At 32.0% G+C, this 27,207-nt stretch overlaps 1 protein-coding gene across 13 annotated transcripts in view; it reads left to right on the forward strand.

Moving 5' to 3' along the window:
- LRRIQ1 (leucine rich repeats and IQ motif containing 1) overlaps positions 1 to 27,207 on the forward strand; it is a 236,455-nt gene that overhangs the window by 188,940 nt on the left and 20,308 nt on the right. For 5 of the 13 annotated variants that reach the window (XM_047429651.1, NM_001079910.2, XM_047429652.1 and 2 more), the window contains 3 exons: positions 4,227 to 4,359; positions 7,406 to 7,466; positions 19,499 to 19,815. In XM_047429651.1, coding sequence (XP_047285607.1) covers positions 4,227 to 4,359; positions 7,406 to 7,466; positions 19,499 to 19,651 — 347 coding nt within the window. In that variant the 3' untranslated portion in view covers positions 19,652 to 19,815. Of the gene's footprint in view, positions 1 to 4,226; positions 4,360 to 7,405; positions 7,742 to 19,498; positions 19,816 to 22,064; positions 24,142 to 27,207 lie in introns of those variants that run through there. The other 8 variants (XM_011538819.4, XM_011538817.3, XM_047429655.1 and 5 more) reach the window with 5 other exon arrangements.

The following is a 27,207-nucleotide window of genomic DNA, read 5'->3' on the forward strand; positions in this document are numbered from 1 at the left end:
TTGTATTCAAAGAAGGTCCTGGAACCAATCCCTTATGGGTACTGAGGAACAACTATGTGTGTAAACTAAAGTCAAAACAAAACAAAAAAATGTGAAAACAGCTACAAGTAAATGCCTTTAAATATTAACCAGTGGTTGTCTTGATAATGGTGGTTGCAGATTGTCTTTTCTTTGACTTTTTACTTTCTAAATTTCCTATAATGAGTATGTATTATTTTTATAATAAAAGGTCAAAAAATGTTTAAATAAAATTACTTAAGGTTGTGTTTTGAAGTAAAAAGCATATATAAACAGTAGTAACTGGAGGACAGCAAGAATCAAAGGAAGGCATTTTTCTTAGGTTGATAATATAGGGAATTGATGATGCAAGACCCATAGAAGTAGCAAGGAATTGTGGACAAAGGGATTAGTGTTCTGCAGGCAGAAGGTTGCTTCTTCTAATATTGAAAGGAAGGAATTACTGGGCAGCCTAACTGGAAACTGATAAGTATCCGTTAATTTATCCAGGTCACCCTTATTCTTCCTACACAAGTTGCTAAAAGAAGGACTTCTGAAGCTTCCAAGAATAAATGTTACTTTCTCTTCCTCAGTAACAGGAGTAATTCTGAAATGATTTTGCTGAGACAGAACCACTTCCTCTAACATTTGAATTGCAGTATTTTCAAGTACATCCAGCCAATTTCACCACTATGCTTGTTCTGTTTCTTACACTGAGCTCATGCCAATCTACCAATTTATGCCTTGGGGTTAAAATGGTTAATAAGAATTGGATCCTTATGATTAAATCTCTCCTTTTTACTCAGGAATTGTTTAGAACTTTGGCTGAGTTTTGATGTAAAATTACTTAGTGTTTATGAAGTGTTATTGTAGAATTGAGGAAAGCTTTCCAAAATGAGTACTTTAAAAAGTGACCATTGCAAGTATATGTCACTATTTTTAAGAACAGGAAGACTGAGATTATTTCTGTTTTAACTAAAAGTTTGCTTATTACAAAAGGATTCTCTCCATATCAGGAGTAGGTGAGTTTCAAGTCTTGGGCTCAGTTGATCATCAGGGTCACTGAGTCATCACTGTTTTCTGTCACTGTGCTGTCCAACATCTGGCCTGGTCACTAAGGAAACCAGATCAGTAGCTGGGGTTTTGCTAGAAAGGAGACCCAATGCAGTGTGTAGCAATGCCAAATCTTCCCTTTGTTTGAGTGTGTCTTATAACTTTTGTATAATTATTTTTTTTCTACTTCCTTTTTTTTTTTTTTTTTACTTTAAGTTCTAGGGTACATGTGCACAACGTGCAGGTTTGTTACATATGTATACATGTGCCATGTTGGTGTGCTGCACCCATTAACTCGTCATTTACATTAGGTATATCTCCTAATGCCATCCCTCCCCCCTCCCCCCACCCCCCAGCAGGCCCCGGTGTGTGATATTCCCCATCTTTTCCATGTGTTCCCATTGTTCAATTCCCACCTATGAGTGAGAACATGCGGTGTTTGGTTTTCTGTCCTTGTGATAGTTTGCTCAGAATGATGGTTTCCAGCTGCATCCATGTCCCTATAAAGGACATGAACTCATCCTTTTTTATGGCTGCATAGTATTCCATGGTGTATATGTGCCACATTTTCTTAATCCAGTCTATCATTGATGGACATTTGGATTGGTTCTAAGTCTTTGCTATTGGGAATAGTGCCACAATAAACATACATGTGCATGTGTCTTTATAGCAGCATGATTTATAATCCTTTGGGTATATGCCCAGTAATGGGATGTCTGGGTCAAATGGTATTTCAAATGGTATTTCTAGTTCTAGATCCTTGAGGAATCGCCACACTGTCTTCCACAATGGTTGAACTAGTTTACAGTCCCACCAACAGTGTAAAAGTGTTCCTATTTCTTCACATCCTCTCCAGCACCTGTTGTTGCCTGACTTTTTAATGATCACCATTCTAACTGGTGTGAGATGGTATCTCATTGTGGTTTTGATTTGCATTTCTTTTTTTTTATATACTGTAAGTTTTAGGGTACATGTGCACAATGTGCAGGTTTGTTACATATGTATACATGTGCCATGTTGGTGTGCTGCACCCATTAACTCGTCATTTAGTATTAGGTAGATTTGCATTTCTCTGATGGCCAATGATGATGAGCATTTTTTCATTTGTCTATTGGCTGCATAAATGTCTTCTTTTGAGAAGTATCTGTTCATATCCTTCGCCCACTTTTTGATGGGGTTGTTTGATTTTTTCTTGTAAATTTGTTTAAGTTCTCATGAATAGGAAGAATCAGTATCGTGAAAATGGCCATACTGCCCAAGGTAATTTATAGATTCAATGCCATCCCCATCAAGCTACCAATGACTTTCTTCACAGAAATGGAAAAACCTACTTTAAAGTTCATATGGAACCAAAAAAGAGCCCGCATTGCCAACACAATCCTAAGCCAAAAGAACAAAGCTGGAGGCATCACGCTACCTGACTTCAAACTATACTACAAGGCTACAATAACCACAACAGCATGGTACTGGTACCAAAACAGAGATATAGACTAATGGAACAGAATAGAGCCCTCAGCAATAATACCACACATCTACAACCATCTGATCTTTGACAAACCTGACAAAAACAAGAAATGGGGAAAAGATTCCCTATTTAATAAATGATGCTGGGAAAACTGGCTAGCAATATGTGGAAAGCTGAAACTGGATCCCTTCCTTACACCTTATACAAAAATCAATTCAAGATGGATTAAAGACTTAAATATTAGACCTAAAACCATAAAAACCTTAGAAGAAAACCTTGGCAATACCATTCAGGACATAGGCATGGGCAAGGACTTCATGACTAAAACACCAAAAGCAATGGCAACAAAAGCCAAAATTGACCAATGGGATCTAATTAAACTAAACAGCTTCTGCACAGCAAAAGAAACTACCATCAGAGTGAACAGGCAACCTACAGAATGGGAGAAAATTTTTACGATCTACCCATCTGACAAGGGGCTAATATCCAGAATCTACAAAGAACTTTTGTATAATTATAAGGCTATTTATGAAAATGGAGTCTGCTCATGGATTCAATGGCCAATCCCCTCATGTGAAGTAAGTGTTCCTCTAATTGTAGCAACTATGGAAGAGTTGGCCTAAGTTCAGGTTTCAAGGGCTGAAGTCATTTTAGAAACATAAGGTCGCATAAGAAGCAATAGGAACTTTACTAAGTAACAGAGTTTTAGATACCCAAAGCATCCAGATTTTACGCTTTCCAGAGACCTGGCTTCAACATCTGTTTAAATTGAAAACTAGAGTCATTTCACTAATTACAACAGTAACTTTTAAAGAAGAAAGACATGTTAGATATATCATCCACAACATATTCTGAATGACACATGCTAAGCTTGTATGTATGTGTGTCTGCACGTACATGCACAGAGTATTCAAAATAGGTTTTGCACCATGCTTTATTCATTTTCCAAACAACTTGCAAATATGTAGACTTTTTATGTACAAACATCTATAACAAAAGAATATTTCAAAGTAATAAATTGACTTTAAATTTTCAGGTTTTTAAACTACAGAATTGTTCTGAGTTGATTACTGCGATTTAGGTTTTAAGAGGTGTCTCCCTCTGGTGTACTGTCAATCAAGTTTATGAAGCCAACAAGCCCTAAACCAAAAATGGAGCAGTCTAAAAGATCAAGTCCATGGAGGAAGGCTTTAAAACAACTAGTCTTCAGTGTAACTCTGATATGTATGAAATACTATAGTAGCTTACACAAAGCAAGCTCAGTTTTATGTAAATGAAAATTCAGGTTCAAAAACACTCAATATAATTTATAAATTCTCCATATGGATAAGAGTGGTATAAAAACAATTAGACTTTAATCCTGAAAAGACAGATAGGGAACAGATGTTTTTATATTAGAAAAATTCTACAGTCTACCAAAAAATAACTCTCTGATTTTTCTAATTAAAAACTCAAAAACAAACCCTATAAATGGTGATTGATTTTAAGTATTTTTTTCAAAATAGATGGGTTTGAAACCTAAGCAGGAAAAACAGTTAATCTGTGACTGACATTACTTTTCTTACTGACATTAGTTTTCTTACAGATTTAGCTCTCATAAGTTAGTATTTTTTTTTCTTTCTTGTGATAAAATGTTTAGCACAGATGGAACTGGTTGGCCAAAGTTTGGTCTCTTTAAATAATAAGTACACGTTCCATATTTCTTTCACAGGTATAGAAGAAGACCCTATCCACAAAGATACCACTGCAAATGAAAAATTAGAACGGAATAGAGAATATACATACCAATGGCTTCACACACAGGTTGGGGTTCATGAAACGACTAGTTCCAGAAATATGAAATGGTGAGGTCATTTCCTCTAAATTAGATTTTTGTATTGTAAACACATCTTGAAAATTGAAACCTAGGTTAATTGTGCTAAAACAAACATGACTTTATTGCCAAAGGCCAATACGCTACGTTGCCGGGTAATACAAAGGCCTTTCATATAGAATAGATTTAATTACTCCTTCTATTTTTCACCCTGAAATGTTTGGGAACAACTCTATTCTGTAATACTTGAAACCAACAGATGAGCCACAAAAATAATTCTACTCTATAAAGTAAAAAATGTGGTATTCATTAAATGTTTTTAGATATCATGTATATTATAGGTTGTGCTTTATTTTGCTTTATTTTTGTTATTTATAAGTTTGACAGTTAAAATTATAATTCAACCCTGTGGCTGTCACTTTACCAGTCATGTAATTCATTTCACTGATGCCCCAAAGCTTCAGTTTCCTCTTTAATAGAGAGAGAATAATTCTAACTCATGGCGTACAGGTGAGCTACAAGGTTGAAGATATCAAATGTTTATATTCTCTAGCAACAAGGTACCTTAAATCTAAAAGTTGCTTAATTAATTTTTGTTATATTAATGTATGTACCATTTTGCTAGGGCTGCCATAACAAAATACCAGATTGGGTAGTTTAAACAAGGGAAAATTATTTTATCTCACTCAGCTCCAGAGGCTACAAGTTCAAGATCAAGGTGTCAGCAGGTTTAGTATCTTTGGAGACCTTCTCCTTTGTTTGCAGATGGCTACTTTCTTGCTGTATCCTCACAAGGATGTGGACTGTGTTGTCTTTGTTCTAATCTTCTCTTCCTATAAGGACACCAGTGATATTGGATTAAGGCACACCTATATGATCTTATCTACCTTATTACCTCTTTCCAATCTCTAAGTACAGCCATATTCTGAGGTACTAGGGGTTAGAACTTCAATATATGAATTTTAGGGGACAGAATCCAGCCCCTAACAATATGATATAAAGCATATACGCATCCTGAACCAAAGATTTAAGGAAATAAAAGTCCAGAGATGATATTTTTACATAGGTTTTCAAGATTTTTGTTTTAGCTACATATATCCACAAAGGAGTAAAAGTGTTATTATAGGCATTTATTAAAAATGTAAGCTTGGCCGGGCGCGGTGGCTCACGCCTGTAATCCCAGCACTTTGGGAGGCCGAGGCGGGCGGATCACGAGGTCAGGAGATCGAAACCATCCTGGCTAACACAGTGAAACCCCGTCTCTACTAAAAATACAACAAATTAGCCGGGCGCGGTAGGGGGCGCCTGTAGTCCCAGCTACTCGGAGGCTGAGGCAGGAGAATGGCACGAACCCGGGAGGCGGAGCTTGCAATGAGCCGAGATCGTGCCACTGCACTCCAGCCTGGGCGACAGAGCCAGACTCCACCTCAAAAAAAAAAAAAGTAAGCCAATATTGAATATAAAGACAATTTTAGAAATATTTCCAGGCATTGTGGGTAGTAACTGTTTCACATGAGTATCAAACACACAAACAAAAAGCTATCATTATTACAGTTAAAACTTAGTTTAACAGCAAGTCAAAATAGGTTTAAAACAAATCTCGTTTAATAATATATATAAACCTAACTTTAATATGTGATCAATTATATCCATTTAATTCATTTAAAAATGTGAAAAATCATATGGAAATGAAAATAAAACTTTGTGATCTGAATTATGTCAGATTGTAATGTGAACAGAAAAGTAGGAATAAAGGCATCAATATTTGAGAATTTTTATCTTACTAAGTATTCAAATTAATGTAAGCACAATTTATTTTATGTTGTTATTAAGCGATTTAATTAATAGGGTAGTATTTTATTCTGTTTTGTGTTGCTATAACAGAATAGCTCAGACTGGGTAATTAATTAAAAAAAGAGGTTTAGTTAGCTCATGGTTCTGCAGGCTGAGTTGTTCAAGGAACATGGCACCAGAATCTGCTTGGTGTCTGATGCCAGGTCACAACATGGTGGAAGGTAAATGGGGAAATAGACACACATGAAGGGGCAAAACCCAAGGGGTATACTGGCTTTTCAACAACCCATTCTCATGGGAACTAATCCAGTCCTGCCAGAACTAATCCAGGCTAACAAGAACAAGAACGAACTCACTGCAAGAATAGCACCAAGGCAATCATGAGAGGTAACCACCCTCATGACCCAAACACCTCTCCACTAGTTTCCAGCACCCAACGTTGCTACATTGGGGATCAAATTTCAACATGAGTTTTGGTGAGACTACATCCAAACCATAAGAGAAAGCATCCTTAGAACTATAAACCAACGTACAATGATAGGATTCATAACTTACTATTTCTATTAACCAGATATAAGAGGTCTTGTTCAGAAAATTGAAAACATTAGAACAGATGTAAAGAAAAATATAAGAAAAATGTTTCATGATGAAATTTTGATATACTTAAATATTTAACAATAACCCTTACTCATAAATAAGTTATATATAAAATTTTAAACAATAAGCAATTGTTAATAAACTTTCTCCTTTGAAAATATAATATATTAAATAGGTAGTCATATTTTAAGAAAAAAATTATTTTCAAAGACAAGAGTTCTTGAAAAGCCAAATATCATTGTTCTAGTTTTAAACAGAATTTTATTTTGAATATTAGTATAACACATTAAACACACTAGAGCTATTTTAAAAGTAGGAAACTTTACTTTTTGAAAAGACGACTAAAACATGTAAGCAAATACAAATAAAATGTTGAAGAATTCTATAATTTGTTAACCATCTTTACTAGTACTAATCAATTGTGGCTCTTTGCATGTGTTTATGTTTGACAAAGAAGAGTGGTATTGAAGTGTTATTAGAAATTGAGTTTTATCTCAAATTGATTTTTTTAAATTAGAGAAAGATGTACATTTGTACTTATTTTTACTTATAACCTAATTTAAGAAAACTGTTGTTTCCATTTTGTAAATAACGAATTTCTCTCAAGCTTTTTAGTTGGACGTTTCTTTTATATGCTTCCTCTACATTTACATTATAAAATACTTTCTGTTTTTGTCACTATGCAGCAATCACTTTTTGCCTGAGTTAGATCCAGATGTACTTAATGGTGGAAGAGTTCAGCTTGTGGTAAGAAATGTGCTTAAAGTTACAGAAAAATGTTGTAGACACTAGTGCTCAAATAAATGGCACTTTAAGATATGTTTATAATTAAACTATGAAAATATCACAACTGTATCTATTTGGGATAATATCAAAATATCATGTGTTAAAATAATAACATGTTTTCTTGACTTGTAATACAATTTAAAATGTGACATTGCTTAAAAATGTTAATTTTATGTGACAGATGTAAAAATATTAGCATCCTACAACTTTAAAATAAAATTACTGTGGATGGAAAATTGAAACTTTTTTCTTGGATATTTTAGAAGAGTAGAATTTGTAGGCTATAACTGGAGGAAATACCAAAGCACCCTCATTACTCAGAAAATCCAACCATATAAAAAATTAACAAATAATTGTGAGCTCAACCACTCTATGTAATAAAGTGTAAAATATTGAAGCTTTTGGTACAACCAGGTTTTCAACATAATGATCAGAATAAAGACGCTATGCAGTATAACTGTATGTGCATTGCTAAAGTCAATTGCACTATATGCTACTAGATAAGCAGAAGGAGAATGGTCAATTTGGAGTCTAGGAAAACTGATCACATAAAATAAGAATTTTTCAGTGCGTTTCTAGAAATTTCCAGAGAAGAGAGTATTCTGACCAGTGACAGAAGTGTGTGGCCTTTTTGGTAGGTGAAAATGGATGCATCAGGTGACCCTAAGTTTACAACCAATCATTACCCCTTGCTCAGATTCTGCATTCACCAAAAACTGATTATAATTTAGCTTGGCTTATAGAATTTTATATTAAAAGATCATGTGATTCTTGAATGAAATGAGTATTATGATTTCCAGACCAGTTATATTCATCATTTTCATGAACAACTCATGCAAGGAGTTCTCCTGAAAGAGAAGCAAATATTAAGGTAGTCGCTAGCTAAATTGCGTGTGTTTTGGAAAATATTTTTGGAATCTAAGCACAGATTTGAGGTAACTACTCAGCAAATATCTTCTTGCATTTTAATAGAGACCTCTCTAAGAAAGTGGCCTGTAGATTATCCAAGGAAAATTGCTAATTTAGGCCATTAACACTACACATATTATTGATTAACACTTTGGCACAGATTGGTTAGTGGCCACCTTAGAGCAAGAATTGAGATCATAAATCTGCCAAGGAATGCAAGGATAAAGAAGTGATATAATATTTTGGTCAAGCATGGTGGTTCAGGCCTGTAATCTCAGCACTTTTGGAGGCTGAGGCAGACAGACTTCTTGAGCCCAAGAGTTCAAGACCACTCTGGGTAACATGGCAAAACCCCATCTCTACCCCCAAAAATACAAAAAAAAATAGCTGAGCATGGGGGTGCACACCTGTAGCCCCAGCTACTTGGGAGGCTTAGGTGGGAAGATCATTTGAGCCTAGAAGATGGAAATTGCCGTGACTTGAGATTGCACAACTGTACTCCAGATTGGATGTCAGAGTGAGACTCTCTTTCAAAAAACAAAAAAGTTATAATATTTAATTTTTCCATGTTTAAAAAGGAATGGAAACTGATTGGATAGATTACTGATCATAATAGGTTTATGAGATTAATGCAAGGATATTAATCCTTTTTCCATACTCCTCTATCTTCCACTATATACAAATAAATAATATACATTACAATGATACATTTTGTTTTCACATTGAAGAGCTAGATACAACTGAACACAAAAACAAGGTAAATGGTAGTAGAATAGAAATATCCAGATGTCTCTTTTTTTAATTGAGTGGATGCAGGGAAAGGCATCAGTGGCTTTTATCAAAAGGATACAGAGCTGACTAAAGGACCAGAGTAGGTATCTAGAAGAGTATTGGAGAATGAAAGCACCCCACTTGCCCACTTGTGCCAGGGAACTGGAGGCAGATAATTACACAATCGGTACAAGGCTATAACTAGGAGGAAAACTGAAAGTAAAAACAGAAAGAAAAAACCACTGCAACTGTTACTAGTATAAGATTCTTAAAAATGTAGTAATAACACCCACAATTAAAGGACAGAAAATTATGAAGCGAAAGTTATCAAATGTTAGAAAAGACAGATGGGTATGCAAGCAAACCAATTATAAACTCTGGAAATAAAACATTTCATTTATATACACTAGACTGGACTCTATAAAAGATAAATTTAGTAAATCAGAAGATTATCTACAAAGAAACAATAATTAGACTGACAGCTAACTTCATATCGGAAGCAATGAATGCCAAAAGACAGTGGATTTTATTTCTTAGTTATAGGGATGAGTATCATCCAGAATACTCTTTAGTAACCTTCAATAGTGAGGCAAGAATAAGGCATAATCAAACATTTAAATTCTGGATATTGAGGAAACTAGTAAATAACATTTCTGTCTTTCAAGGAAGAGCAAAGCATATTGCATGATAGGAATTAGAAAAATGGAAACAAAATATCATTTTCTTTACATCCAAAAATATATCAGAAGTCACGTCAAATATATAGACAATTTTATATTTAATTGACTAAATGGATCCCCTCAAACTCTGGAATTTTCCTGCAGAAGACAGAATTATAATTCAGGTTTCCCAGGAAACATACTCTGATAGTTTTATGTTTGAATGCAGAGAGTTTATTCAGCAGAGCTTTCCAAAACGACTCCTGTGAGAGATGAAAGAAGCAGAAAGGAACAGAGGAAAATGGTGACCTTCAATAGAGATGCATCAAAGAAAGTGAGGTCTGGAGACGGGGAAGACCCTTTTGGGTTGTCCTAGCTTGAGGCAAGAGGACTAGGCGTTAATAGTCCTGTATCTCCTCAGGAGAAAGTATGACTTTGATAAGGCAGTTCTCTTCAGCGAAGGATAATTTCCAGAGAGGGATTTGGCTGAGACCCCTCAGGCTGCAGTTTTCTCAGTGACTATCTCTGACTCAGTTGTTAAATATGATCTAGGTAGGGTATGATAATATCAAGGCAAGTTTAGTATTCATGAGTGCAACAACTTAGTCTAGAAAATGTGTCAGTTGTACCCAAATAAGTCTATACATTAGAAGAAATCTCATCCAATATTACAATGGTTGTTGCAAGCCTGATAAATCTCATCTTAAAATGTGTATTGAGGATTAAAAACCCAAGAATATGTGGGTCAACTTTGAAAAAGAATAGTAAGTTGTGTCACAAGACATAAAGGCTTAGTAAAAAGCTAAAGCAAACTTCATGGTTCTGGCACAGGAATGGATGAATAGACCAATAGAAATGAATAGCAAGGTCAGGAATAGATCTATGACTCTGTACTATAAAGATTGGAAAGCTGAGATTGTTTACTAAATGGCATTGAAAAAGTGCAGGAGTATGAATGCACACCTTTTACAACAGTGGACAGAATTCAGAAGGTTCAAAGATCCAAATATGAAAGGTAAAGCTGTAAAACAGGTAAAACAAGGAATAATATCTTTGCAACTTAGCAGTTAAAAATACATTTTTAAAAAGGTATGAATAGTACAAACTATATGGCAAAAATATCAGTTGACTCTGTTAAATTAAATATCTCTTTCTATTAAGGATTTTATAGAAAAGGTTAACAGGTATATGACTGCTGTTTTCAGTGCCTCATTTAACAGAGCTTAATATCTAAATACAGAAAGATCTCTTTCAGGTAACCCAATGAATACATTAGAAAAATAATATAAATTGGTGGTTCACAGAGATGATGCCTAAATGGGCAAGTGTATGTGAAGAGATGCTCGGTTTCCAGATGAGAGGAATGAAAATGAAAATTAAGTTGTCTTATGACAATACTAATCAAATGGCAAAAATTGGAAAACTGGATATTGCAGAAGGATGTCACCAATGTGAAAATCCTTGTGTACAGTTGGTGAAAGTAGAAGCTGGTACAGTCATTCTGGAAAGAAACTTGTCAGTGTTTATTAAAGTAGGTATTTGAATACCCTATTAGTCTGCAAGCCCGTTCTTGGAGGAAAAAAAGATACATATTTTTGGATACATATATATATTTGGATATATATATATGTATTTCTGGATATATGTATCTTTTTGATGTATATATATTTCTGGATATATGTATGTGTATGTGTGCATATATATATATATATATATATATATCTCCCAGATTATTTTTACATACAGCCATCAAAGAATATATACCAAGAAGTGTGTTGCTGTATTATTTATACACATATAGAGGCAACTTAAGAACTCTTTATTAAATAAATGAATAATTGGTTGGATATATATTATGAAACACAGTACTGCAGGCAAGAGGAGTAGATTAAAACCATGCAGAAAATAGATATATTTAAATTACATATTATTGTGTTTAAAAATTAATGACCAAAATGTTAATACCAATTTATTTGTTTTCCTAATTGTTTCTGCTTTGGGCTATGATGTAGTATAGACCAGTCCTTCTGAAGAAAAACGTTTTTATAAAACCTGGATAAAATTAATCAAACAACTATTTTATAAGTTGAAAAACAGGCAGCACAGGACTATGATCCCTGAGATAAAAGAAACACATGAGTTCCACAGTCAACTCAGGTAACAGCTTGGAAACACTTTCTGGACTACAGCAGAGGGAAGGGAAGCCTAAAGAGAGCTCAGTAGTTTCACTGAGTTGAAAAGAAAGAGAGAAAGGAGTGTTCAGAGTTGCTGAGATAAATGGTATTTACAGGGTAAAATACTAGAGAAAGTGTTGCAAAAATTGGTATAGTGGTTTCCTTAGGTGTTTGGCCAAGTACTAAGCTCTGTATATACTGCACTATGTGACTCATTGAGGTCCAGAAGGGAACAGCTACTGGGAATATCTGAACTGAAAAGAGACTCTAGAGACCAATCAAAACCGGGAAACATTGGAGTTCTGACCTGCTACAGTGGAGAACGTCCCAGACATTTAGTTAAGACCATGTAAAGTTAAACTTTAGGAAGGGGTGACTCTAGCCCTGGATTAAAAAACTCCTCTAGATCCACATAGTAAAACATAAATGTAAGCCTCAAAAAGACCAAGTTAATCAACAAATAAATCAACTGCCTGCTAGAATAAAAACTGCCTCTGTTAGAATAAAAGCTAACAGAGTTTAAAGGATGCTAACAAAATCTACAGATTCAGCAAATAAAATTACAATGTCCAGTGTGCAGTAAAAAATTGCTAATCCTTCAAAGCAGCAGGAAAATGAGCCTTGTAAGAAAAAAAATCATCACTAGAACCAAATCAGATAACCTTTTTAAGATTCTTGCCTGCAAGTTATAACATCTATTATAAATATATTCAGAGATCTAAATGTTGAGGAAACAGATTGAAATCTTAATAGAGAAAATAAACTTTAAAAAATAAGAAAATAGAAAATCTAGAACTGCAAACTATTTCACCTTAATTGAAAAAAAAATAATGGCTGGACTTAATAAATTAGACATTGGGAAGAAAAGTGCACTCAGAAACAAAGCAAGATAAACTCTCCAAAGTGGGGCAGAGAGAGAAAAAATAACTTAAAAAAAATCAAAGCTTGAGTGCTCTGTCAGATAATAGCAAGCAAGCTAATAGATATGTTGTTGACTTTCCGGAAGAGAGATTAGAGATGAAAAAATATGTGAAAACTAATCACTGAAAACATTTAAAATTTGATGAGAAATACGAGAAAACAGATTTAAAAAGCTTAACACAAAAATTACACCTATGCACCTCATAATCAAATTGCTGAAAACCAACAAGAAAGAAAAAAATTTAAAGCAGCTAAAGTATACATGATATACAGGGGACCATTTGTAAGGATTATGGTTCACTATCGATCACAAATATTGACATCCAGAAGAAAGTGGAAGAAAAAAATGTCAACCTTCAATTCTATATCTAGTAAAAATAGAATTGTAATTTACCACATTAACATAAAAAGGAAAACAATCATTATCTCAATATATGCAGAAAATGTTTACCACGAATTCAACAGATTTGTGGTAAAAATTCATAGAAAATTAGGACTAGAAGACACTTTCTTAACTTGATATACTTAGTGGTTAAAGGCCCAATGTTTTGTATCTAATATCAGGAACAAGGCAAGAAAATCTGATTGGAAAAGAAAACCATCTGATTTTCACAGATGACATCTTCTTGTACATAAAAGTCTTAAGAAATCCTCACAAACAGTTTAGACATAAGTGAATTTATTCAAGGACACACAATAAAGTTTAATTTAAAATATGCTACGTTTCTAAATATTAGCAATAAAGTTTAAAAATTAAATTTAAAAATTTCATTCATGACAATGTCAAAAATGGAAAATATTTAAAAATAAATGTTAACATTGAAATGTGCAAGCCCTCTACACTCATAACTGCAAAACACTGCTTTAAAAAATTTCAGAGACATACCATATTTATAAATAAGTTGAAAAACTCAAATTGTAAGAAATTAATTCTCCCCAAATGTTCTGTAGATTCAAAGCAATCCCAGTAAAATTTTTGGTAGAAATGTACACACTGATATTAAACTGTGTATGGAAATGGAAAGGACCTAGAATAGCAAATGCAATCTTGAAAAAAGAATAGTAAGACTCGTGCTACACAGAATTCAAGACTTGCTATCAATCCCCGGTAATTGAAACTGTTTTATACACACACACACACACACACACACACACACGTGTATATATATACACACACATATATGTATGTATATATATTTATATATGTGTTAAGATACAAGAATCTATCAATGGAAAGTATAGGGAGTCCAGAAAAATACCCACACTTGTAAGGTCAATTGATTTTTTATAAAGTATCAAAACAATTCAAGGGGGGGAAAGATAACCCTTTCTACACATAGTGCTGGACAACTAGATAACTATATGGAAAAAGAATCTTGACTCCTACTTCTCATCTTATGAAAAATGAAATTAAGATGAACTATGAGCCTAAATTTAAAAGCCAAAATTGTAAAACCTATTGAAGAGGCCTGGCATGGTGGCTCGCGCTTGTAATTTCAGCACTGTGGGAGGCCCAGGCAGGTGGATCATTTGAGGCCAGGAGTTTGGGACCAGCCTGGTCAACATGATGAAACTCCATCTCTATCAAAAATACAAAAATTAGCTGGGCATGGTGGCACGTGCCTGTAATCCCAGCTACTCAGGAGGCTGGGACACAAGAATCCCTTGAACCGGGGAGGCAGACTTTGCAGTGAACTGAGATCACACCACTGCACTGCAGCCTGGGCAACAGAGCAAGACCCTGACTCCAAAAAAAGTAAAATATAATCAAATAAATAAAAATAAAACCTATTGAAGAAAACAGTAAGATACATCCACAAACCTGGCATAGGCAAAAAGCCTAAACCAAAAGTTACAAATCAATTATAGTTCATATTTAAAAGCATTTGCCCTTACGAAGACACAATTCAGAAAATAAACAGAAATGAAAAGTCAAACCACATTATCGGAGAAACATTCATACTCTTTATTTCTGTCAAAAGCAAATGAAAACGTGTTCACTTAGAGAAATAATTAAAGCCACTATATAATACCACTCTACCCCATTAAAGTGGTTAAAATAAAAAATACTGAAATTATCAAATGTTGACAAGTATGCAGAGCAACTGTATCTCTCATGCATTGCTGGTGAAAATGGTACAGCCACTCTGGAGAAAAAAACTTTATAAGCTTTATAAGCTTGTAAAGACTCTGGTACATTCAGAAGCTTTATAAGCTTCTTATAAAGTTAAATATACACTTAACATACGACCTAATTATTCTTCCTTTGAGCATTTTTCCTAGAGAAGTGGACTTTCATTCAAACAAAAAACTGTACATAAACTTTCATAGCAGTGTTATTTGTAATAGCCAAAACTTAACACAACTCAAATCTCATTGAATGGGTAAAATAATAAAGAAATGATGGTACATACATACAGTGGATATACAACACACAATTAAAAAGCAATAAACAAGAAAGCTGTTGACATATACAAATATTTCCATCGATCTCAAGAACATTATGTTGAGTTAAAAAGGGCTAATCTCAAAAGATTACATGCTGTATTATTTCATTAATATAAGATCCTTAAGCATCACGTAATTATAGTAATAGAGAAAACGTGATTAGTTGCCATGCTTAGATTGGGGAAAGGATGTGACTATAAAGGAGAACAACAGAGTTTCTTTGGGAAGACGGAATAGATTTGTGTCCTAATTGTGATAATAGTTGAATCTATACATATTAATACAATACATAATCTATACATATATGTATGCATAATTTATACATATGATAAAATGTCATAGAACTGCAAACAAGAAAAAATTAGGGCATGTGAAAGCTAGCGAAGTCCTAATAAGGTCAGTAGTTTAGTAATAGTATTGATACAGTGTCAGTTTTCTGGTTTTGTTGATCATGATTTGGTTATGTGAAATGTTGTCATTGAGGCATGCTGGGTGTAGGGTGCATAGGGAACTCATTGCTATATTTTGTAACTTCTATGGGAGTTTTAAACTTCTATGGGAGTTGAACTTCATGTTTAAGGTCTTTGCACTTTACGGCATGTACATTATGTCTTTTAAATATTTAAAGTGCCTTCCCTACCCACATATGTTATATAACAAGACATCTGTCTTATTACATAAGAAAAGGAGTTTATGAAAAGATGATGTATTATGAATTTAGGAGTATGCATAATTCATTTTCTTTACATGAAGTTAAAAAGCTTTTAAAATCACTCATATGTCTAGATATATTACAAATAATTATGTGATATATTTATAGTATATATTGTAATTTTGCCATAATTTGCAAATTATTCTAACAGTTAAAATAAATGAACTAAATCTAGATCTCACATATATAATGTACAGTGAAAAAAGCAAGCAGCAGAAAATATATCATTTATGTTAATTTTGAAATAATACTCTAAAATGTTTGATACATATGTAGAAAAACAAAGTAGCATGTAAGGGGACTTCATCTTTATAAAACTCGCTTTCTCCCTTTATAAAGAAATATCTGGGTAATAAGTACATAGACATTTGTTTTTATGTGTGCTGTTTTGTATATCTTCACTTCCAAAAAGACAATACTTTTAAAATTAATAATTAATAAAATCTTGTTTATGAAAAAAATGTAGAAGAAGAGGAAATCCCTCTTGTTTAATATATGAGAGAGAATCTCTTTTTTAATTAAGTTGCCAAAGTTGGAGGTGAATCAGAATCCAAATGCTTGGAAAGTCCTGTCCCAAAATGTACATCCGTCATTTCATTGTGAAATTATAGGGCGGAAGTGGGGAGAGCGGCAATTACAAACCTTGTAGGTAGGGCGATAAAAGAGATCCGTTCCAAAAACAAAGACCTAAAAGAATTTTGCAAAATTACAGTCTAATAAGTATTTGCCATTATGTTGTATGTGAGAAAATTCTTATCTGACATTAACTTGAGATTATTATATTATAACCATAAAAAATATTGCACTATTTTGGAATCCAACATACGTTTTTGTAGAATAAATGTCGAATGTGTGATCAGTTATCTTCAGGTTAAGTTGGCCCTCCATATCTGTCAACCAACTCTGGATTGAAAATATTCAAACAAACAAAAAATAACAATACAACAATAAAAATGATACAAATAAAAAAACAATAGAGTATAACAACTATTTATGTAGCATTTACATTTATTTAGGTATTAGAAGTAATCTAGAGATTATTTAAAATAGAAGGGAGAATATGCATAGGTTATATGCAAATAATTCTCCATTTTATATAAGGGACATGAGCATCCATGGATTTTGTTATCTGTGGAAGTCCTGAAACAAATCCCCACAAATACTGAGGAACGACTGTATATACAATTTACATGACATTGAAGAAAATCTGTATCTTCTTTACCATTTCTCTATTTTTTAACACTAAGCAGAGAATGATGTTTAGTTGGGAAGCCAATGTTTTCAAAAATAAGATCTAAATATTGTTGCATATCGCTGTGCCAGATTCACTGAAAGACATTTAACTAGCCCATTTATGAAATTTCTAGGTTTGCTTTTAAGCTGCTAAATGGCATCATTGTGAAGCCATGTGTTTCCAGTAATTTTACTTCTAAAGTTTATTTCCTATGTAATTGACCAAATTAGTAACTGACACTAGTTATTTTCTACTTTGGAAAAAATCATCTTTGGATGTTAATTACTTAGATGATAATAAATTTTTTGGAAGGTGTTTATTTACAAATATTTTCTTGACTGTAGGTTTTGTCTTATTTAGGGGAGAGTGGGAATTCTACTTTCTAAATAGGTGTAGTGAAATTATGTCATTACATTTAAATAAATAAACCTCATTTTACAATATTAAGGCTTATAATCTTAAAGCCTCTTTAGTCTTCAGGAGGGTCCCTTATGTGGTTCACATGTTTTTTCTTGTTACCTAAGTAGCCTCTCCAAAATTGTGGTATTGCTTTGATATTTCCCCTTAACTTTTGACTGTTTTTTTTTTTAAGGTTTACCATTGATGGAACTTTTCTAATGCAGCTATTCTAATGTTAGACATGTACTCTTGGATACTATTGAAATACATTTCAAAAATAATGTATAACTTTTATTATTATTATTATTATTATTATTATTATTATTATTATACTTTAAGTTTTAGGGTACCTGTGCACATATAAATCACAAGTATAAATTGGAAACGATTTTTATTTATTTTATTTTAATGTTTTCTACCGAGGTTTTTTGACAATGTCATTATATTACTTAGCCAGTTACATTAAGAATGATTGACATTATACAATGGTTTATATTCTGAACTCAGCAAGAGCAATACTTGCTTACTTAAAAATAGTATGTGAGGCAATACATATGTTAATTTGCTCAATTTAGCCATTCCACAGTGTATATATATATTTTAAAACATTGTGTTGTACATGATACATGTATACAATTTTTGTTTGTCAATTAAGACCAAATAAACAGGGAAAATATAAATAAATTTGGAAAAATAGAAGTATATTAAAATAAATAAATAAATGTAAGTTCATATGTTTAAAAGTAGGAAGAAGGTGGGAGGGGGATGTAAAGGTGAAGGGCAAATATCTGAATTTTAAAGAGGGTCATTTTTGGATACTAGCTCCTTGAGTCTTTGTGGCTCATCTTATGGAGACAGCTTTTTAACCACAGTGGTGGTTTTATGCTTTTATTTTGCTATATTTAAGTTTTCCTAACATCAAACATTAAGAACAATGCATTTTCACAGGATTTCAAGCATAGTGTGGTTTTGGTTAAATCCCAGCTACTCTGAGGCTGCTTTGCTTTCCCTCATGGCATTTCCCCCTATTTCAGAACTGAATCCTAATGTATCTTTATGTAATGATATTCAACATTATGTACAACACTGTTTTATAGGTAAGAAGCAATTATTTTTGGCACTTAGATTCGGTCTAAGTAATACAAATTCAAAGGCAATTTGAGATAAAATAAATAATTTTTATGTTCATTAAATAATGTCCTGAAATATCTATATATTTATAATTATCCCAAAATTAGTATTAAATATATTTTTATATTGATAATGGCTTTAATGAGAAGGTAAAGATGGTCTGTAGCTTAATTGTATGCAAGCATAGGGTGAAAGGCATTTCAGAGAATTTTATTGATAAGACTAATACATATAAGTGGCAACATATAATTTTTGCAAAAAATAACCCCATATGACATGTCTAACATTCAATTAAAAATTAAATAATATACTTGGCAAATAAATAATGTTAAGCTCTTTAAAGTTTCATCAGCTACCTTTGATATTGATTTTCATCAAAATTACTGTACTAAAATGTTTTCTTTTGTTGTACAGACTCAAATAGCAATCCTCAATTTTACAATCGACTCTTATTTGCAAAAAATGCTTTGACATAGTGCATTTGTTCTGCCTGGGCAGCAATAAAGGATTGTGGTATCATTTTGAAGAAGGTTGTTTGACAGAGCCTGTTTGTTTATTTGGGGTAATGTGAGCTGCATTCAGAAAATGCCATATTTTGTTTCATGATTGTATACATTCTCTTCCATTGCTCCCAGGCAAGACTTGTAAGCAGAGAAGACACGGATTTAGACCTTTTTTCCATGACCAATGGAAGTGCTTTGTCTGTGAACAGAGAAAAAAAAAATCAGGCACACAGACACTCAGCAGGATCTTCAAGTAAGTTGTGGTTTCCTTCAAAATTAATTTAGAAATCACAAACGAATTGATGGAACCTAATGCCAACAAGCATTCTTTTTCAGATAGGGGGTAGGATGCCAGCAACCTGAACTGCCCAAAAATGTGTATTTAAATTTTTTCTTTCTTTAAATATCCTCTTTTGATATAAACAAAATTAAATTATTTCTAAAATTAACTGCATCAGTTTTTATTTTAATTGTATTTGGGGCTTCAATATCTCCTGCCCCCCACACCCTGTGAATCATATTGAATTCTTTGATCATTTAATTCTAAAAGAATTTTTTAGACTAATTGTAAGATGTTAGATTTATATATGAAAGTAGTGTGTCTTGGCCTTTTACCATTGATTTAATAGATACTGTATGTAAAGATAATTTCCAAAGATAATTTTTTTAAATAGAAGAGCTTTAAATAATATTATACTATCAGAAAGCATGCTTTCAAAAACTATTTCCATTGCATATGTAAGAGTTTGATTATGTCTATTAATGATGACTCTTAATTCATAAACCTGTCACACACATCTATTACCTTTAACTTGGTGAGAAATATACATATATATTAAATATATAATACATTTATATAACATATTTGTTATATATATGTAGAGAAAGAATATAAAAATAATGATTTCAACAAGAATTATATTGCAATTATTAACTCTGAAAAATGTAAACATTTAAAAAATAGCTGTATCTTGTGGTATTTCACGGGAATCAAGAGCGATTTCTTTCAAAGTCCTTATTTAACCCTAGAGAGTTTGAGATCTCTTCTAAAATGTGACAATACATTAGTATAAAAGATATTTTGCTTAATATTACATTTTGTTAATTTCCCCAATATATAGTGAAACTCAAGATTTAATCGTAATTAAGTCTTTATACTTAATTATAATTATTATTTTTGAAAGAGTTGTATTACTCACTGGTATTATAGTTACATATATACATATATATATAGAGAGAGAGACTCACACACACACACAATACAAAATCAATATTTGATTGAAAGTGAAAAATTCAGTGATCCAGATTGTGCTCTCCGGATAAATGAAAACTTCAAAATGATTATCTGACTTTCACTTTTCATCCAAGTACTTGGCTTTATTAGATTATAATCATTTATATTTATTAATACATGCAAGTTCATTTTGATAAATTTTAATTTACTTTTGAAATAATAATTTTAATACATCTAATTTTGAAATATTTTCCAAGTTTCAAAAACCCTGGAGAGCTTGAAGTTTTCTTACATGATTATAGAATCTGGTCATTGAAATGTTGCCCTAGTCAATATAGTTAAGAAATAAATATTTTAAGTTTAAATTATTCACCTAATGTAAACTTTTTAGTTTTTAACATAATGTACTAACTTTATCAAATTTCAAAATCTTTATTCCATTTCAGAAGTAATCAGCCTGTGTCAATATATATTAATAAATAATGATAATTTTACGCATTGCATATTACAAACTCATATGATATCACTTTGGAGCATTGTAGGTAAGAAATAAGCAAATTAAAAACAAAAACAAAAAATTGCTTTTTCACTTTAGAATTTCAAAACTTCTGTTTATAATGTATTACCTGAATGTTAGCACATGAATAGCTCAATAAATCAGCAACTAGTTTCAAATATGCAAGTTTCATCATTCACTTACATGATATTTAATTATGGATTTTAGAGATATAATTATATAGAGTTCATTTTAACACATTCTCCAAGAAGCTGAAATAATGCAATTCTCACTGTAATTCCAACTACTTGTCAACAAATAATATTACTGAAAACACTACTAATCTCTGAATGTGTTAATAAGCAACAATTTAAGGCAAACTACTTTAGAAGAGTAGAGTTTTAAAAAAATAATAAAATGATTATGAATCAAATACTACTTGCTTAATCACTGTAGTTGCTAAGTAACTATAACAACATCAGTATTATATAATAATAAGGAGTGTGGTCTCTGAGGTCAATTTGCCTGGATTTGAATGAGGACTTAATCTTTAAAATAGGAATGATAATAGAAGCACCTCTTTGTAGAGTTGTTGTTGGGATCAAATGCATACGAGTTAGAACACAAACTGGTACAAAATCAGTGCTTAATAAGTGTTCTTTATAATCATCACCTAAACATAGTTATATAAGAAGCATCTTTTGGGCTAAAGTATGGAAGTCTCAAGTATCTAGGCACATGATCTAATTGGTTCAGCTTATAAAAAACCTACTCTTAGTTGCTTAATTAAAATATTTGGCTTAGTCTATTTTTCTGTAGAAATCAAAGTCCTTGGGCCCTAGGCCTCCATGGCCCTGGGTCAACCAGTTAACAGCTTTGGTATCTTGAAAGCTCTTTTTCCTTTAGCTTTCTCTCTCTGTCTCAAAATTTGTCACCTTATAAAGCTATTAATAAAATATTTCTTTTAGCTTTGCAGGCCAAATCTAGAGAGTACTTTGTGGACTACAGCTGTAAAACTCTTTTTGAGCCTTTGAACTTTTCTAGATATTTCTCTTTTAGTGTTGTTATAATTTTATAACATGTATTCTTTGGAATCAGATAAATTCAGATTTAAAATCCCAGTTCCACCATCACATATGAGTTGTGTGCCCTTAGGTAAATTGTTTAACCTCTAACATTAAGTTTACTGTCTGTAAAATGGGAATAGTAATGTTTATATCATAGTTTTAGTGAGGAAAAATTGAGTAAAAATATACATAAAGCATATGATATATTGCCTTGGGTATTATAGGGTCCTAAAGAATAGTACCTGTTGTCTTCACTGTTTCTTGTTGTATGTTTGGTAATTCTCTTGAGTCATTATGAAACAACCCCACAGTAGAATTGTCTTCCTTTTCTGTGTGTCAAAAATAATAAGACCAGGAGGAGTATACTTTGAACATACTGGCCATCTCAGGCAATATTTCTTTTGTTAGAAAACTTCCTAAATGTTCTGTCCCTTTCCTTTTAGGCTTTACTGTTTCCTTACAAAGAGGCCAAAGCAGTCTTCTGCTATCTAAATTTCTAATCTTTCTTATGGTTTACAAAGTTATGAAAGAGATTACATTCTCATTCAAAAATTATCATTTATAAAATGGACATAGCAAGAGATTTCCTCATTTATATAATATTTAGTCAAAATATTTGAATTTACTAAATGATTTTAGTTTACTCAATTTCCTCATTTAATGCTTAAAGTATGCATTGCAATATATAATAATACTTTTATTGTTAGAGCAATTTATAGCTTTATACATTATCTTTATTTATCTTTTCTCATGTATAATGATCATATTTCTTTGACAGCTAACATAAATGAAACTCAGGAAACTAACTAATTTGCTTTTCACACAAAAATTAGCAAAGAAGAGCAGCAACTTGAATTTATCTTTGTTTTTGTTCTAAATCCAGTGATATATCATCTTTAATTTTTCTATGGACTAAAACATATAGCTTAGTTAGTAAAATAGTAGAAGAAAAATTATTATAATTTTTAATCATTAAATTATCCAAGAGTCATTTATTGAATGCTCACTGCTCCCTGCATACCCACGAGTGGTTTTCAGGTGTCTCCTTCTGATTATCTCTGTACTTTCCAGGATACATTACATTTTCACAGTTAGTTGGGGTTTGAAAACCCACAATACCTCTGTAATAGTGAGTAATCAGACCCTCCTGAAGTTGTTCTTTGGTTATATCTAAACTTATGAAAAGTTAGTCTTTTTAATATGGTATTGAATTTTCTGAATGTGACAGAAAACATTGTTCAGAAGAGAAGCAATTATAGTGGTTGAGGTGACTTAGAAAGACTTCTTAAAGGCACTATTCGTGATTTGTGCCTAGAATGACATTTGGGATTTAAGTAAGGAAAGAGGTAGAAGAAAAACCATTTAAGCAAAAGTAAAGGATAAAATATGAATGTATCATTGTGGAATGTTGAAGAGTCTGTCTGGGCCAGAGGTTCCATATACTGAAGTAAGTAATATAAGGTTGGATGAAAGAAGAAGCCCAGTTTTAAGTAAGTTTGAAAGTAAAGTAGAAGACTTGAAATTTCCTACTAATAATAAGTAACAAATGAAGATTTCAAAAAATAAGTGTTTTAGAAAACTAAACTATTTGTTAAGGAAAGGTATTCTGAATCTGTTCTAACATTACATACTTCCTCTAATATATTGAAAGAGTAATTTTATAGCTCTTATGAAAAAATATTGATTTTTGTGATAAAAACTTCAAAACGAAATAGATTGCTAGGAGTTCATGCCTAATATTGTTTACAGGTAGAAGTCTAAGGATAGTACCTAAAGCAAAAGTAGATTCCAAAGATGGATATTGAAGTTTATTTCAAGTAGAATAAGCACATTTCAATAATATAATTTTAAACTTGCAAATCAAGAAGGTAGCATGTTGTGTATTTATGTATATTTATGTACATATATTCATATGTATACATGTATATGAATATCTAATTTTTGCATACCTGGAAATAAATGTGTGTGTCTGTGTGCATCTGTGTGTATGTGTGTAACATGCATTATAATTCCACACTGTGTGAACTCAAGAACTATCATTGCATGTATTTAGGTATTTTTATATAAACCACACATCATGATAGTAAGCAGTTACATACCTACAATGTGAAAATCACTTCCACAAGCCATTAAGAAAATATAAATATGAATTATATGTGCCTAGCACATAGTAGGCACTTACATTAAGTGAATAAATGAATATATGAGCCATTGTTGCTACTCTCCTATATCATGTGTTCCTATCAGTTTATTTTTAAATGGATATTGTTTTCCACAGAAACAAAAACATTTTCTTTAACATTCATGGACTTCTTTATAAACTGTATGTATGAGATTTAGATTAATAAATTGTTGCAGATATTAAAGTAATATTGTCATAGATTATAAAAAGCGCTCTATGATGGAATTTAATCGACATGAAGATGGAATTTTCAAGGGCTTGGCTTATATCAGGGAGGAAAATCTCTCTTAAAAGCCCTAAACATACTTTCTTTTAAATTCCATTGTCAACAACAATGTTGTACTAATTTTTTTTTTATTGTTTCTTCTTCTCCTCTGCTAGAGTGTATGCTACAGGGAAGCAGGGAGTTTAATTAAATATTCTAGATACCTAGAACAATTCCCTGGCATATTGTCTATTATATGTATTGGAGGAATTGATACATGGATGGATGGAAGGATGAATATTGTCATTCTTTAGATGCATCAGAGCTAGGAAAATGAGTATCTGACATTTTCTTGCTCCGTAGTAAGAGGAAGGCTTTACCGACAAAGAAGCAGGGTAGAAGATTGCCTATTTAGTAGACATTCGACATCTATCATATCTTCTCAGAGCTTTGCAAAACCCTGGCATTTATAAGCCTTAAAAAATATAATTGCTCCATATGTTAAGTGTTTCATTTCAGGTGAAGTTTTCAAATACCACAATCAGAAGATGCAGATTTCCACAGACCTAGCCTATATGAAGCCAATCCTGTAATTTCTTCATTCAAAAATATTTATGAGCCAGGTGCAATGGCTCATGTATATAATCCCAGCAATTTGGGAGGTCGAGGTGGGAGAATTGCTTGAGCCCAGGACCTTGAGACCAGCCTGAGCAACATAGTGGGATCCTTACCCTACAAAAAATACAAAAATTAGCTAGGTGTGGTTCTGTGCACCTGTAGTCCCAGCTACTCAGGAAGCTGAGGTAGGAGGATCTATTGAGCTCAGGAGATTGAGTCCTCAGTTAACTATAATCACACCACTGGACTTCAGCCTGGACAACAGAGCAAGGCTCTGCTGCTAAGAGGCAATAAATAGATAATGGAATATGGAAAATATATATATATTATATTATAGATTATATATTATATTATATATAATATATATTATAGATTATATATTATATTATATATAATATATATTATAGATTATATATTATATTATATATAATATATTTTATATATTATATATAATATATTTTATATATTATATATTATATATAATATATTTTATATATTATATATTATATTATATATATTATAGATTATATATTATATTATATATAATATATATACCTTAAATTACTATTTTCTGAATATAATAATTTTCATATATGTATGAATTTGAATTATAAGTGTATTTATGAAGAACGTCTTTATGAAAAGTAATTTGGACTCAATTTTCTTCTCTTTAAAAGAGATTTGCAGCTTGGACCACATGAAGTCCAAGTATTATTTATTCACAACATTTTAGTCTAGAAAGTGTATTTGAGAGAAATTGAGGAAAAGCATAAGGACTGAAATTGTCAAGAAAGCATTGTTTCATCATTCTTTTTCTCTTTCCTTTCCTCTAAGTTTTAGAAATTTATAGACTGGCAATAGCCTATAAGATTATGTCATTAGCTAGGAAAAACTGTTAACTAGAGAGTGACTAATAAAGTATAATATAGCTTCTCATTAAACTGGAATTATGAGGTAAAGAGTAGTAAAAGATGATTAATATGCCGATTTAGGTTTTAAACATGGTGAGTGTGGTATCGATAAGAATATGTGTTTAGAGTTTGGGCAGTCTCATTCCTAGTCCTTGTTGGCTCTTTCCTAGCTTGAGGACTTGGTTAAATCATTTGCAACTCTTATGTAAATTTAGCCGGTAAAGGCAGCCTGGCATAGTGGAAAGAAATTTGGAGTAGACCATATCTAAATTTGAATTTGTTTTCTTACATATATGATCTTTGTAAACTTGAATAGGATATTTGAGGTCTAGTTTGTCCATTAAGAGAACATTATGGTGAAAATTAGAAAGACATATATGTGTATTTTGGACTCACGAGAAGTGGCGCAAAAAAAAAAAAACAGATATAGAGGAGATCAAGATTCCTTCTAGCTTTCAAATTCCATAATTCTGCAACTAGAACAATACAACTTTGTAGTCGACAATTTCCCAAATAAAAAGCAACAGAAACTATCGTTTCTGATATTTTTCAGTATGAAAATCATGCTTGAAACTCAAACTTTTCTCTGTGCCAGAATACTTTGCAATGATTCTAATCTTAAACATTGTTTAAATGGTCTCTAATTATTGTAGCTCAGCACAATCAACTGAGAGGGGAAAATCTTAATATTTTCTTTAAATGATTTTAAAGTAAAGATCAGAAGACTACATTATATGTGAGATATTACAGCTATTTTATAAAATCAAGTTGAATTTTAGAATGCTAAAACTCATATTAAAGCCCACAACCTCTACAGAAATAACCTATTTTAAGAATATTCTACTATAAATATTTAGTAGTTGATTTTTAATGTCCCAATCCATTTTCAAAGAAAAAGAAAAAAGGTAGTTTTCTATTGAAAAGTCAGTCCCTATCTCATAGAATGGCATTTGAAAATGATATTTTAGTTAATCCATAGCTAGATGCTTACTTTTTAGGAAAATGTTGTTTGTAATTGAAAATTAAAGACGCTGAGGAAGAAGCTAGTTATAGACCAACAGATACAATGTAATTTAATAATTAGATTATTTTGAAGGTGGTTATTAAAGTGTATGAAGTTTTTATACA

The sequence above is a fragment of the Homo sapiens genome, chromosome 12 (genome assembly GCF_000001405.40).
Source record: "Homo sapiens chromosome 12, GRCh38.p14 Primary Assembly".
Classification (NCBI taxonomy): Eukaryota; Metazoa; Chordata; class Mammalia; order Primates; family Hominidae; genus Homo; species Homo sapiens.